Raw genomic sequence first — 14,257 nt, forward strand, 5'->3', positions numbered from 1 at the left:
GTTTTTAAACAGGAATATGAAGTCATTTCTTCACATTCTTCTTAAAGGCAGGTTGCTTCATGATCATTGCCCAGGACTAAACATTTTTCAAGATGGATTTTGTTTTACTTTAAAAGAATCATAACTCCATTTTTAAAATTTAGATAATATGATATAAATTAGTTATATAAGTTATGCAACGCAGTCTTCATCCATTATTCCTTAGTGATCTAGCTGAATTCTACCATAGTTAAGGGACTTGGATGAATTCCATAGAAATAGTCTCAGCTAGCATATTTAATCCTCTGATTTTAGGTTGGGAATTGTGGAATCTACCTGTCAAAATGTAAGTTATTTCTGCACACACACACTCACAAAAACTTAGACTTTTTTCCCATACCATTAACAAAAATGTAGACTATTTAGTACTTTTGCCTATCAATGGGACAAGAATTAGAAGGTGTCACACACACACAAAAATGTATCTCACTAGTTCATCTCAAAGCTTCATGTTTGATCTTAAACACACTTCATCTTTTAAAGCTCAGTTCAATGAAGTTGATTTTAGGGCCCATACACATTACTAGTCAGTCGTTCTTATCTGCAATTTTACTAATAATACCAGACAGACCCTTCAAAGAAACTCTCAGGGCCTGTCACTCCTAGAAGAAGTTCATCTATTCAACGGCACTGTTCTTGTTCCCAAATGGGCTCTCCCTAACAAGCACAGAAGCTGACAACACCACCGGAAAAAATACCCTGGAAAATAGTTCCCAGCATTCTAATGGGTTACAGATGGGCTGGGAATCTTCCTGCCATTTTTTATTGTTAGCTAGCTTCCTTTCTTCTGTCTCAGGTTTTATTGCTTGTTTTCCTGGTTAGCCTCCTGGATGCTTGAATTAACCCACTGAATCTTTCCTTTGCCATGAAGGTCTCCAGATCACTGAGAGGGTCCTGAGGCTTTCAATTGTATTAATATTTCCACACCGTCTGTAACAGGAGCTGTTCCTCTTAGCCAAGGCCTGCGAGATGGTTCAAAGTATATTTCTGGAAAGATATTAAACTTACTTTAACAAAAAATTTTTTTAAATCCCCACAGTTAAAATGATGTCCTTGGAGACTAGGGAAGCTTATCCAGATCAGCCTTATTAGGTCGAATATCAATCAGTGAAGTCAGGCTGCCAGAGGATTATGTTGTTGGGAAAGAAAGTCAACATGTTAATGGCTCTGCCTGTTTGCAGTGTTAACTGGCTCACAAGACGGAGAAGGATTATGCTCTGACACTTGTGTATCCTTGCTGAACTTGGAATGCGACAGCTCAGATCCAACCAAAATTAACTGCATCAGATGTCGCTGATGTGAAAATAAAAATCAACTAAGCCAAACAGCAGAAGAAAAGGTGGATGGAGGAAGGGGAAGTCTTAAATTCAGTCCTCAGTGGCGCCCCCTTCCTCCAGGTCCCTAAGGGAAACTTCCCTGGGTGTTTGTCCAGGCTTCCTTCCCCTGCTGCTTCTGGGAAATGTTCTTCCTGCTCACTCCACCGCGTGCTTCTAGTGGCTGCTGTCAATCACAGTGCTCAGCCTGCATGTGACCCAAGCCAACCAATCAGAGCCGTGCCCTGGGAATTTTTGGCTTTGAACTAAGAGATGAATCACTATGGTGTGTACTGCAGTCTGAGAGCTGCTGACAAGCATGTTCCTGCCACTTTTAGAGGAAGCAGGCCTATAGTATGAAAAAGGATGCTGGCCCCGAGAGCCACAGAAATAAGCAAACCAGAAAATTCCATGATTGCCCAGGTCCAATTCCATCATTCCTAAGGCCCAGATCCAACTTTGCCCTTCCGTAGTTTGGGAATCACTACATTCCCCTTGACTTGAATTTCTCTCACTTGCAACAAAAAAGTGCTGGTGGGTGAAAATGCTATAAATTAATCTCTCTAATTTATGTCTTTGAAGAAACTTTTAAAAGCCTTGTATTACTTGGGATGTCAGTTTCTCTGCTGTCAAAGAGACCTGAAATAACACTGCCTGAGAGTAAGGCAGGTAACATTTCAAAGCGAGTTTGCCACTCTGCTCTGTGAATATGTCAAGGACTCAAGCCCCTTCAGGAATTACCAGAGCTCTTTCCAAAGAAATGACTGCAGGACCAGGGATCTGTTGCTATTTCTTCCCAGCAGAATTTTATCATTATTGTGGATCAATTGCTATTGTATGTTTCCCATTCTTCCCTTTTTTGAATGGGAGTGTTTTTTGTCATTAATCTAACCCTGCACTACCATTATGTGTTGAGGAGGAAAGAGATGACTTGTTTATACTGTGTAGAGGAAGCTCATGTAGACATGACAGAGATGACTGTACATCACCCAGAGGTCCTAGGCTTGGAGCTGGGTGCAGTAACTCCCTGGGACTTCAGGATGGTCTCCCTTGGGGAAGGACTGGCTGTGGTCTATGAAGGAAGAAGAATATGCATGTGGATGTTTGAGCAGCCAAAATGGGGTACTGTGACAGAGACTGCCAATTGTCCCCCAGTATCTCCTTCTTTACCTAAGAGAATGCCCAGTTTTTGACTGCATGGACCATGGTAGAATGAAGAGTCATTTCCCAGCCTCCTGGCAGCTCGGAGTGACCATGCAACTAAGTTCTGTTTAATGTGATATGGCAGAAGTGACTCATTCACCTACAGGATCATGCCCTAAAAGGGACAGGCATGCCCTCTTCTTTCTCTTTCCACCCCTCCTGATAGCTGATATGCAGACTGGATGGTCAACCATCTTGGACAGTACAAATAAGAATGATGAATACTTTAGGGATGGCAGAGCTCCTAGACAGGAAGATCCTGGGTCCCCAACATGGTAAAGCCACCCTATCAGCCCTGGACATGAGATGGAGAAATAAACTTTTCTCTTATTTAATCCACTATTTATTTATTTATTTATTTATTTTAGAGAAAGGGTCTTGCTCTGTGACCCAGGCTGGAGTACAGGGGCACTACCATGGCTCATTACAGCCTTCAACTCCTAGGCTCAAGTGATCTTCCTACCTCAGCCTCCCAAGTACCTGGGATTATGAGCATGAACCACAGCACCCCAATCTGATCTACTTTATATTGGTGACAGGGCAGCTGGATATTATTTCCTACTATTGCCAGCTATTTCCCAGCACCATGTAAATGCATACCCTGGTAGGTACTCGACTCAGAACTGAAGCTTCTAGAAGTCAAAGACTAGAAGTGCTCAGTTTCTGGCATGAATGTGAAAAGTGTAGTAAACGCTGGAGAAAGAGTTGAAGGTGATTATGGCAACTAACAGTGCCTCTGCCCGGCCCTCCTTCCCCACCTCTTGGGGCAGCTGATACCTGCCTTCCTCCTGGAAGCAGGCCTCTGCCCAGGGCCACCTCATTTTTGCCAGGGGATAAAAGGCACTGGCTGCCTTGGTCTCACTAAGGCTGTGCTGCAATTGAAATGAGCTTCCTCTTGGAGAGCTTGTATTTTTTTTTTTTTTTTTTGAGATGGAGTCTCACTCTGTTGCCCAGACTGAAGTGCAGTGGTGCAATCTCAGCTCACTGCAACCTCCACCTCCCGGGTTCAAGCGATTCTCCTGACTTAGCCTCCCAAGTAGCTGGGGTTACAGGCACGCACCACCACACCCTGCTAAAATTTTTGTACTTTTAGTAGAGATGGGATTACACCAGTTTGGCCAGGCTGGTCTCGAACTCCTGATCTCAAATGATCCACCCACCTCTGCCTCCCAAAGTGCTGGGATTACAGGCATGAGCCACCGTGCCTGGCTGAGAGCTAGTATTATTACATAAGGCACAGGTGTGGCTACTAGGACACAGCAGAATGACAGGGCCTTCATGCCACTGTGCCAGGCATGAGTGTGGGCAGTCCTAACAGCAGGACTGACACTTATGCCCCAATACCCCTCACCTTGCCCCTTACCTCCAGTGTCCAGCAATTGAAAGGTTAGTATATAACTTCTGGCTAGCAAAGCTCCCTGGGAATTTGATTTGAGGCTAAATTTAGTGTCCATTCTTATGTATTGGGCTGTAAGTATGTGAATAATGAAATATTTCAAGTCATCTTTGCCTGTAGGTGCTGGACAATATTTTCCCACCCACCTGCATAATCAGGCCACCTGAATTGTCACAACCATGTGTCCTCTCTGTTTCCTGCCTGTTTTTCTGTGTTTCTATTGGAACTGGAGCCCCGTCCAGTCTGGCGTGACACCCTACCACATTCTTGCAAATTATCTTTCTTGCTCATTGGGCCCTGCCACAATTGAAAACAATTCCTAATTCCATTCCCCTGCCTGCCAACTTGACACATACAGCCATGCACAGCCCATCCAATGAGAGAGCCTTGACTGACACCTGCCATAACCACACTCATGCATGCTCTGTGGATTTCAGTTTAAGCTGTGCGTTGAGAAGACTTGGGCTTAAGTCCTACTTCCATCAAGTAATGAATGTGACCTTAGGAAAATTAACTTTTTTTTTTTTTGAGACAGTCTCTCACTCTGTCGCCCAGGCTGGAGTGCAATGGCATGATCTTGACTCACTGCAACGTCCATCTCACAGGTTCAAGCGATTGTTCCACCTCAGCTTCCTGAGTAGCTGGGATTACAGGCACCTGCCATGAGGCCCAGCTAAATTTTGTATTTTTGTAATTTTGTATTTTTGTAATTTTGTATGTTTCACCATGTTGGCCAGGCTGGTCTTGAACTCCTGATCTCAGGTGATCCACCTGCCTTGGCCTCCCAAAGTGCTGGGATTACAGGCGTGAGCCACCGCACCTAGCTGGGAAAATTAACCTTTCTAAGGCTCAGTAGCTTCATCTTCAAAATGAACAGAATAACGCTTGCCTTATAGAGTTGTTGTGAGAGTTGAATGGCACATAGTAAGCATGTAAGAAATTATAGCTGCGTGCAGTGGTGCATGCCTGTAATCCCAGCTCCCTGGGAGGCTGAGGTGGGTGGATCACTGAAGGACAGGAGTTTGAAGCCAGCCGGGGCAACGTAATGGAATCCTGTCTCAAAAAAAAGAAAAAAAAGAAAGTCCAGGTGTGGTGTGCATACCTGTAGTCCCAGCTGCTATGGAAGCTGAGGTGAGAGGATCACTTGAGCCTGGGAGGTTGAGGCTGCAGGGAGCTGTGATCATGCCACTGCACTCCAGCATGAGCAACAGAGTGAGGCCCTGTCTCTAGGAAAAAGAGAAAGAAGAAATTAATCCGTTTTGTGGAGCATATATTCAAATGGGGGAAAGATACACATTTTAAAGTGTTTTTTCAAGATCCTGTCAAAGAAAAAAACTTATTTTTAAAGAAAGTGTAGCATCATGACCTGAGCTCCCCTCCACCTGGCCACCACTCCATGGTCACTGAGCTGCTTCTCAGCAGTCAGGCAGCCTCCGCGGCTGAGATCTTCTCCTCGAGCCATCTGGTCCTGGCCTCTGTCCCTGGTCTACCTGACAGTGTTGCCAACCCCCCACATGAGTGTGCTCAGTGCCACCCACAACCTGATGACCTTATTCATGGAAGGCCCTCAGTATGTGTTTAAGGAAACAGTGAACAAGAGAATGAATTAAGTACAGTGCTGGTATCCAGTGTTTTCAAAGATGCACCAAATATCATTTCAAAGCAAAAACCCATCCTGATTGCTGCAGGGAAGGCGCAAAGCTGGTAAGCATGGCGGCCTTCACCAAGGGGTTCTCCATCCTCTGTCCCTCACTGTCATTGTCAGAAAGGATGGTGTGAGTCAGTGGGCACATCATCTCTTGATCGCCACACTCACAGTCACATGCTAGGCCTACCACGAGGGAAGATCACGCTTGCTTCTCAGTTCCTCGGGTTGACCTGATGCTAACACTCTGGTGGCCTCTGCAGTAGGCATGAGTCAGTCGAAGCAATCTGTGCTCTGCTCCCCAGGTGGGACTGCCTCCTTCCATCACCCCGTGGTGTCCTGTCCCGCCGAGGGGCCAGCCAGCAGGAGAGGAAGGGGGGAACAAGGATGTGCGTGCCACCATGAGTCCCCTGCTGGGAAGGAATTCCCAGGCCCTGGCGCAGAAGCTGGCAGCAGCTGCTCCTGTCCTGGGAGCAGCCTGGCCTCTGAGAGCAGAGAAAACAGAAAATAGCAGGAGTGGGAAACTTACAACATAGCACCTGCCCCATGGAATGAGACAGGGCCCCACTCAGCCACCACAGTGTGTCAGCCCTTCACACTGCCCTACGGTTTAGAACAAAGACAGGTGTTCAGGTGGCTTTGCTCCAATTATCATCTCGACCTTGCCTTGGGGAGCTGTATAAATAGCTGAAAACATGTCTTTTCCCCTTTTAATTTTTTTAGAGAGAAAGGGTCTGGCTCTGTTGCCCAGACAGGAGTGCAGTGGTGCAATCACAGCTCACTGCAGCCCTGACCTCCCAGGCTCAAGCGATCCTCCCCTGTCAGCCTCCCAAGTAGCTGGGACCACAGGTGACTGCCACCATGCTCGGTTAATATTTTTTACTTCTCTGTAGAGACAAGATCTCATTAGAGCAGGCCAGGCTGATCTCGAACTCCTGGGCTCAAGCAGTCTTCCTGCCTTGGCCTCCCAAAGTGCTGAGATCACAGGTGTGACCACTGTGCCTGGCCTCTTTTCCCCTTGCTGTTCTCTATTCTCAAGTGTAAATGTCAAGTCTTGAAAAGAATTTTCATCATTTTACAAAGAGGTGATAGCTGGGTGTGCTTATAGTCCCAGCTACTTGGGAGGCTGAGGTGGGAGGATCACTTGAGCTCAGGAGCTCAAAGTTGCAGTGAGCTATGATGGCGCCACTGCACTCCAGCCTGCACAACAGAGCAAGACCCTGTCTCTAAAAAATAAAAATAAAAATTCAAAAAAATTTTTAACGTGTTACAAAAGAAAGGGGGGTAGGAATGAAAATGATGTTAGCAAGGGCTGCAGTGACCCAGGACAAGTAAGCAATTTGGTGAAAGAAGGCTGAAGATCAAGATAGATTGAGCAAAGGGAAGAATTAATTCTGGAAGAACAGTTGATGGTTTTACATAACCAGACACACACAGGCCAACAACACCCTGTAGGGCTCACTGGTGCCAGAACCCGTCTGCATCTAGCCCTGCTGTGGCGTCTACAAGAGACACAGATGATTGAACTTAAAGTTTGAGTGCATGATGGAAGGGTCAGAAATGTTATCAGAATAGTTCACAGTGATTTTTCTCCCATTATCTTTCCTATTTCATCAGTGGCTGTAAGGACAAGCAAGTGTCCCTGGAGAGGTTCAGACCCATCAGGTGTGTGTCCTGAGCTGCAGGATTCCCCCATGGATGTTTACTCTCTTCTTACATCTCCATCTGCCCGGCTTTGCTCCCAGCACAGGGAATGTTCCTATAGGACTGTACCCTACAACCAGGCCTTGGCAATCTGGCCTAGAGGGCAGGTATGGCTGGAGGGCAGACAGGAGATTAGTGTGGCTGTGCAAGTGGGGTCTCCCTTGGGCTCTGCTCCCCTTAAGCCCAGGCCTGCATTGCAGAATATTCCACAGGCCAAGCAAGTGATAGACCAGAGAAGGAAGGGCCATTTATTTCAGTACTTAACTTTCTTCACTGGAGCAGTCGATTAATTGCTGGTGCATATTAGCCTTTTTCTCTGCGTTGTGTTACACAGACTCTTTAAGGATAAGGTGCTCATCCGAGTCATGGTGACTTTTGCACAGTGCAGAGCAGGGTGCCAGGGATATATTGGGATTTAGAGTTTGAGGGTGGATGCATGGGCTTTGAGTCTCTGTTTTTGAGCCTTGTTCCCCATCCTAACCATCCTCTATCTATGAAAATGTGACTTCCATCTGTGGCAAAGGATCATGAAAGTTTGCCAAAATTTTCCCTGCTGCAGAGCTTCTCTCTGGCCAAATATGACTCAATCAGGTCTTAAGCAAAAGGCCTGGAACGTCTGTCACTTCCAGAGGCCTCATGCCAAGCACAGGATGTGAAAGCTCACTTCTTCCTTCTACTGCCCACTTACACTGCACAAGAGAAATCTCGCCTCCACTCTCCGTTGACCTTCCTCTCAGAAGCACAAAGGCATTAGCTCACTTTGGGCTCAACATTGCCAGCAGTCACAGATTTCTGCACCATGGTGTCTCCTCTCTTTCCCTGGAGGGAATCCCAAACTTGCTCTCACCTTGGAATATTTTTGGGGCCCTGTGAACTGGATAGGAATGGCAAAAGGACTCAAAGTAGCTGGGCTTCCTGCATTTCCTTCTGAACCTCCTTGCTACCTCTAACTTACACTGGAACAGTAGACATAGAGCCAGGGCAGTGTCTAGCACATAGTAGATGCATAAATGGTTGTTGAAAGTTTTGGTGCAAAGACATAAACTGTCATGGATTTTCAAGCACTCATGAAAGACTGTTAGACAGCCTTTCCTGCAGGATACCTCCTGGAATCCTGTTAATTGGATTCTTCTTGAAGCATGGATAACAACACAATAAGTATCTTATACCTAAGATATATCCATATAGACAAACAACCATTAAAGAATTACTTTCTTATCATTTCCATTAAATTCAACTAATGTCAATTATATGACTTCTCTACACAAACCTCTATGCCAGCTGCAAGACCAGAATGAGAAGGACATTTCATTCTCATTCAGGAATGAATGTGTTTTCAGGAAGCACAACTCTATTGCAAGGATGAGTTTACCAGGCCAATGGCTTCCTGCTTAGTTAACAGGTTCTCAATGCATCTTCATCATGATGAAGATGATGAAGATGGCTATCTCCAAAGTATGGAACCAGCATCAGTACTGATGTGAGGCTGGCTCTATGTTTTGAGTTTCTATGTAACAAACTGTAACCTAACTTAGTAAGTAAACAAACAAAAACCTAGTTTAGGAATATCTTTCTGTTACAAACAGCCAAGCTTCAGCCAATCATAGACAGCCAACTGATCACCTCATGCCCAAACAAGGTAAATGCCTAGCTGTAGCCAATTAGATGATTTCTCTACTTCGCTTCTCTGTTCATCCTATAAAAGCTTGCTGGTCATGCTGCTGAGTGGACCTCTCTTCTGGTTCTGAATGCCGCCTGATTCATGAATTGTTCTTCGCTCTGTTAAATTTAATTGTCTATGCTCATGCCCATAATCACAGTGCTTTGGGAGGTTGAGGCAGGAGGATGACTTGAGGCCAGAAGTTCAAAACCAGCCTGGGCAACATACCAAGATTCTGTCTCTACAAAATAAATAAATACATAAAAATAAAGACATTTAATTGTCTAATTGTTTTTTAACAGACCTAAGTCTTATAACACCCACGAGCATGATTGTTCCCGGAAGTGGGGTTGGTGGAGGGAGGCAGGGTCAAGGTTAATTTAGGAAGTGATGTTACCCTGGGCTTTGAGTGGGAGCTAGGGTTTTCCTAGATACCAGGTATGTATGGTGGGGGTGGGGGGTTGCAGGAAGCAGGGTTAAGTGAGAGTGCAGAAGAACAGACTTTCCTGGCAGGGGAGATCCTGAGCATAGCCACAGAAGAGTGAAGACACGTGAGTTCTTTAGGGGCAGTGACTAACCTCACGTGCCTGCCTTCAGTGAGAGGTGTGTAGGGGATGAGGAGTGGCCACAGGGGCTGGAATGACGCAATGGGCCTCTTAGAAATGGCATTACTCACCATGCTTGGGAGGCGTCCTACAAGCAGGTAGGGTTCCCCCACCCAACAATTTTATTTTATTTTGTTTGTTTGTTTGTTTTTGTTTTTGTTTTTTGAAATAAGGTCTCACTCTGTCGCCCAGGCTGGAGTGCAGTGGTGTAATTATAGCTCACTGCAGCCTCCAACTCCTGGGCTCAAGGGATTCTCCTGCCTGAGCCTCTGGGGTAGCTGGGACTGCAGGTGTGCACCACTATGACTGGCTAATTTATTTTTTGTAAGGATGGTGTCTTGCTTTAGTGCCCAGGCTGGTTTCAAACTCCTGGCCTCAAGCAATCTTCTTGCCTTGGCCTTCCAAAGTTCTGGGATTACAGATGTGAGCCAGCAGGCCTGGCCAAGATTTCACTTTAGAAATGATGTGATTATATGTGTGTTTCAGAAAAGCCAACGCTAGCAGAGGCATTTATTTCACCCATTTTAAAACTATAAGAGATTAAGTATCTGCTCTCTTATCTCCAGTGTCAATATATTGATATTGATACAAAAATGGCACCATTACAGGGAAAAATAAGATGCCATCAATGTGCTTGTGTAAAAGGCCGTGCTTTACAATTACCCTAGCTCAGAGGGACCTTCAGCTTGTTACTGAGCCCAGCTGAGTACAGGTAGGAGGGGAGTCTTTTTCCCTTTCATTCCCAGGATAGGTATCCAGAGCCCCACCTCCTTCCTTAAGCATTTGCAGGGATATTTTCAGGGAGGTCCCCGACTTGAGGCTAATCAGAATGCAAAGCATTGGTGGAGGCCAAGACAGGCCTCCATCAGCTGAGCAGCCATGGGTGGGATGCTTGGTGTGGCTCACCCTAGGAGAGGCAGAACGTGCATGAATCTCCTTCCCGACTGCCTGGTCTCATCTCCTGTGGGGCCTCCAGACCTTCACTCCATCCTCCCTCTCTCCCTGGACCACCCTAGACAGTTGTGCAAGAGGCTGAGGAGAGGGAGGATGAGGTGAGGAGCCATGTTCTTACTCATAAGATTCTCTCACAAATGAGTCCTTGCCTTTCCCATTCGAATTTCATTAAAAGTCCAGAAAGAGGCATCTTTTTCTCTGCTTTCTACTCTCATTCCCCCTTCAAGATCAATGGTTACAGAATCGTCCCACAGCTTGAATGAGGGTAAGGATAAAATGGGAAATGGAAAGACTGGAGAAAATTGATATCATATTATTATTCTCCAGCAAAAGGATTCTTGGAAGGTTATCAGGTTTTATTAACATGTCTACTTCTTACACATATGAAATGCAAAATTCTTGAGATTCATCAAACGCTTTCCTATGGGCTTTTAAACCTATCAAAGTCACCAGAGCACAGGTATTGATAGACTAGGAGCTATTAGTAAATCCATCCAAATCTGAATTAATGCAGTTGTATTTCACCCAGATACAGCTTCATAGTCCTTATTATGGTCATTGAACCACCTGGCTAGTTCCTCCTCCATGGTGTCACTAAGTGATTATGCTCAGATAGTATTTTAGATCACCTTTCTAAAAAAGGAACTCAAGATAGATAATTTACTTCACCCCTCATCTCTAAATCTTAATCCAATCTAAGTATATTCATATCTCTTTTAAATTGTCTCTTTAGTCTCCTTAAGCTATTCCTCTAGAATTGAGGCCATCAAGCTACAGATGGTCTTACAAATGGAGCCCTAAATGAGTTCAACTAACAACTTCTACTGAGGACCCCTGGACCAACCCGCTGGCACTTTTACTGGCCTAGAAAGCTCCCCTCTGGAGGACAGTACAACTGCAGGGCCCCTTCATCGCCCCTATCCAGCAGGAAGTAGCTAGAGCAGTCATCAGCCAAATTCCCAACAGCAGTTGGGGTGTCCTGTTTGAGGGGGGATTGAGAGGTGACAGTGTGCTGGCAGCCCTCGCTCACTCTTGGCACCTCCTCAGCCTTGGCGCCCACTCTGGCTGCACTTGAGGAGCCCTTCAGCCTGCCGCTGCACTATGGGAGCCCCTTTCTGGGCTGGCTGAGGTCGGAGCCGGCTCCCTCTGCTTGCAGGGAGGTGTGGAGGGAGAGGCGGGAGTGGGAACTGGGGCTGCACGTGGGGCTCACGGGCCACTGTGAGTTCCAGGTGGGTGTGGGCTCGGCGGGTCCCGCACTTGGAGCGGCCAGCCAGCACCACCGGCCCCGGGCAGTGATGGGCTTAGCACCTGGGCCAGCAGCTGTGGAGGGTGCGCCGGGTCCCCCAGCAGTGCCAGCACTGTGCTGGAATTCTCGCCAGGCTTCAGCTGCCTCCCCACAGGGCAGGGCTCGGGACCTGCAGCCCGCCATGCCCGAGCCTCTGCCACCATGCTGTGGGCTCCTGCGCTGCCGAGCCTCCCCGAGGAGCGCCGCCCCCTGCTCCACGGCACCCAGTCCCATCGACTGCCCAAGGGCTGAGGAGTGCGGGCACATGGCACGGGACTGGCGGGCAGCTCCGCCTGTGGCCCTGGTGCAGGATCCACTAGGTGAAGCTAGCTGGGCTCCTGAGTCTAGTGGGGACTTGGAGAACCTTTATGTCTAGCTAAGGGATTGTAGATACACCAATCAGCACTCTGTGTCTAGCTCAAGGTTTGTGAATACACCAGTCAGCACTCTGTATCTAGCTAATCTGGTGGGGACTTGGAGAACCTTTATGTCTAGCTAAGGAATTGTAAATACACCAATCAGCACCCTGTGTCTAGCTCAAGGTTTGTGAATGCACCAATCAGCACTCTGTATCTAGCTAATCTGGTGGGGACTTGGAGGACTTTTATGTCGAGCTGAAGGATTGTAAATACACCAATCAGCACTCTGTGTCTAGCTCAAGGTTTGTAAACACACCAATCAGTACCCTGTGTCTAGCTCAAGGTTTGTAAATGCACCAATCAGTGCTCTGTATCTAGCTAATCTAGTGGGGACTTGGAGAACTTTTGTGTCTAGCTCAGGGATTGTAAATGCACCAATCAGCTCCCTATCAAAACAGACCAGTCAGCTCTCTGTAAAATGGACCAATCATAAGAATGTGGGTGGGACCAGATAAAGGAATAAAAGCAGGCTGCCTGAGCCAGCAGTGGCAACCCACTCGGGTCACCTTCCACACTGTGGAAGCTTTGTTCTTTTGCTGTTTGCAATAAATCTTGCTGCTGCTCACTCTTTGTGTCCGCATTGCCTTTATGAGCTGTGACACTCACCGTGAAGGTCTGGAGCTTCACTCCTGAGCCAATGAGACCACAAACCCACCAGAAGGAAGAAAATTCAAACACATCTGAACATCAGAAGGAACAAACTCCAGACACGCCACCTTTAAGAACTGTAACACTCACCATGAGGGTCTGCGGCTTCATTCTTGAAGTCAGTGAGACGAAGAACACACTAATTCTGGACACACTACCATGCCCATGTAATTTTTGTATTTTTAATAGAGACAGGGTTTTGCCATGTTGGCCAGGTTGGTCTTGAACTCCTCACCTCAGGTGATCCATCCACGTCAGCCTCCCAAAGTGCTGGGATTACAGATATGAGCCGCAGCACCCAGACAGAATTTTTTTTTTTGATACAAGGTCTCACTCTGTGGCCCAGGCTGGAATGATGTAACCACAGCTCATGGCAGCCTTGACCTCCCAGACTCAAGGGATCCTCTCGCCTCAGCCTCCCAGGTAGCTGGGACTACAGGTGCACACCACCATACCCAGCTAAATTTTTAAATTTTTTGTAGAGACAAGATCTCACTATGTTGCCAGGGCTGGTCTCGAACTCCTAGGCTCAAGTGATCCTCCTACCTCAGCCTCCTAAAGTGTTGGCATTACAGGCATGAGCCACCACACCCAGCTACAATTTTTTTTTTTTTTTTGAGATGGAGTTTTGCTCTTGTTGCCCAGGCTTGGGTGCAATGGCGTGATCTCCGCTCACTGCAATCTCCACCTTGAGGGTTCAAGTGATTCTCCTGTCTCGGCCTCCTAAGTAGCTGGGACTACAAGCACACGCCACCATGCCCAGCTAATTTTGTATTTTTAGTGGAGATGGGATTTCACAATGTTGGCCAGGTTGGTCTAAACTCCTGACCTGAGGTGATCCACCTGCCTCAGCCTCCCAAAGTGCTGGGGTTACAGGTGTGAGTCACTGCACCAGGCCTGCAATTTTTTTTAACCTAAAATCTCATCATTAATAAATCACCCACTTGAAATTAAATGTGGGTGTGGGTGTGATTTTTGAAGAGTTTTATTTTTAGGTATACCTGTAATAGGCCTACCAGATTAAGTCATTCTTTCTGCAAGTATCAGAACCCCCTGGACTATTCTTTAAAACTGCAGCTTTCTGGGCCTTTCCCCAAGCCTCCTAAATCAGAATATTTGGTGGCAGAGGCCAAGCATCTGTGTTTTTAATAAACGCTCTAAGTGATTCTTAAGAACCCTAAAGTCTGACAACCACTGGATTAAATAGTAAGAGTAGCTATCGTTATTCTAGCATATGAAGTCTCTCCACAAAGTAAATAAATAAATTTAAAAAAAAAACTAAAAAGAAAACTAAAAAACCACCGTGGTCTATCAAGACTTGGTCTTTCTGTCAACTTGAATTCAAAGAAATAGTCTGTTGCCAGAATCCACGAATAAATTTTTTTA

At 46.4% G+C, this 14,257-nt stretch overlaps 1 annotated feature.

Annotated features, from left to right (window-relative positions):
• Nucleotides 5,985–6,484: an enhancer, noted in NCBI's record as "H3K4me1 hESC enhancer chr10:34318619-34319118 (GRCh37/hg19 assembly coordinates)". NCBI's record gives its function as "activates a minimal SCP1, AML or CMV promoter by ChIP-STARR-seq in naive H9 embryonic stem cells {active_cell/tissue: H9 hESC(naive)}" and the evidence as "EXISTENCE:reporter gene assay evidence [ECO:0000049][PMID:30033119]".

This window comes from Homo sapiens, chromosome 10 (assembly GCF_000001405.40).
Source record: "Homo sapiens chromosome 10, GRCh38.p14 Primary Assembly".
NCBI lineage: Eukaryota > Metazoa > Chordata > Mammalia > Primates > Hominidae > Homo > Homo sapiens.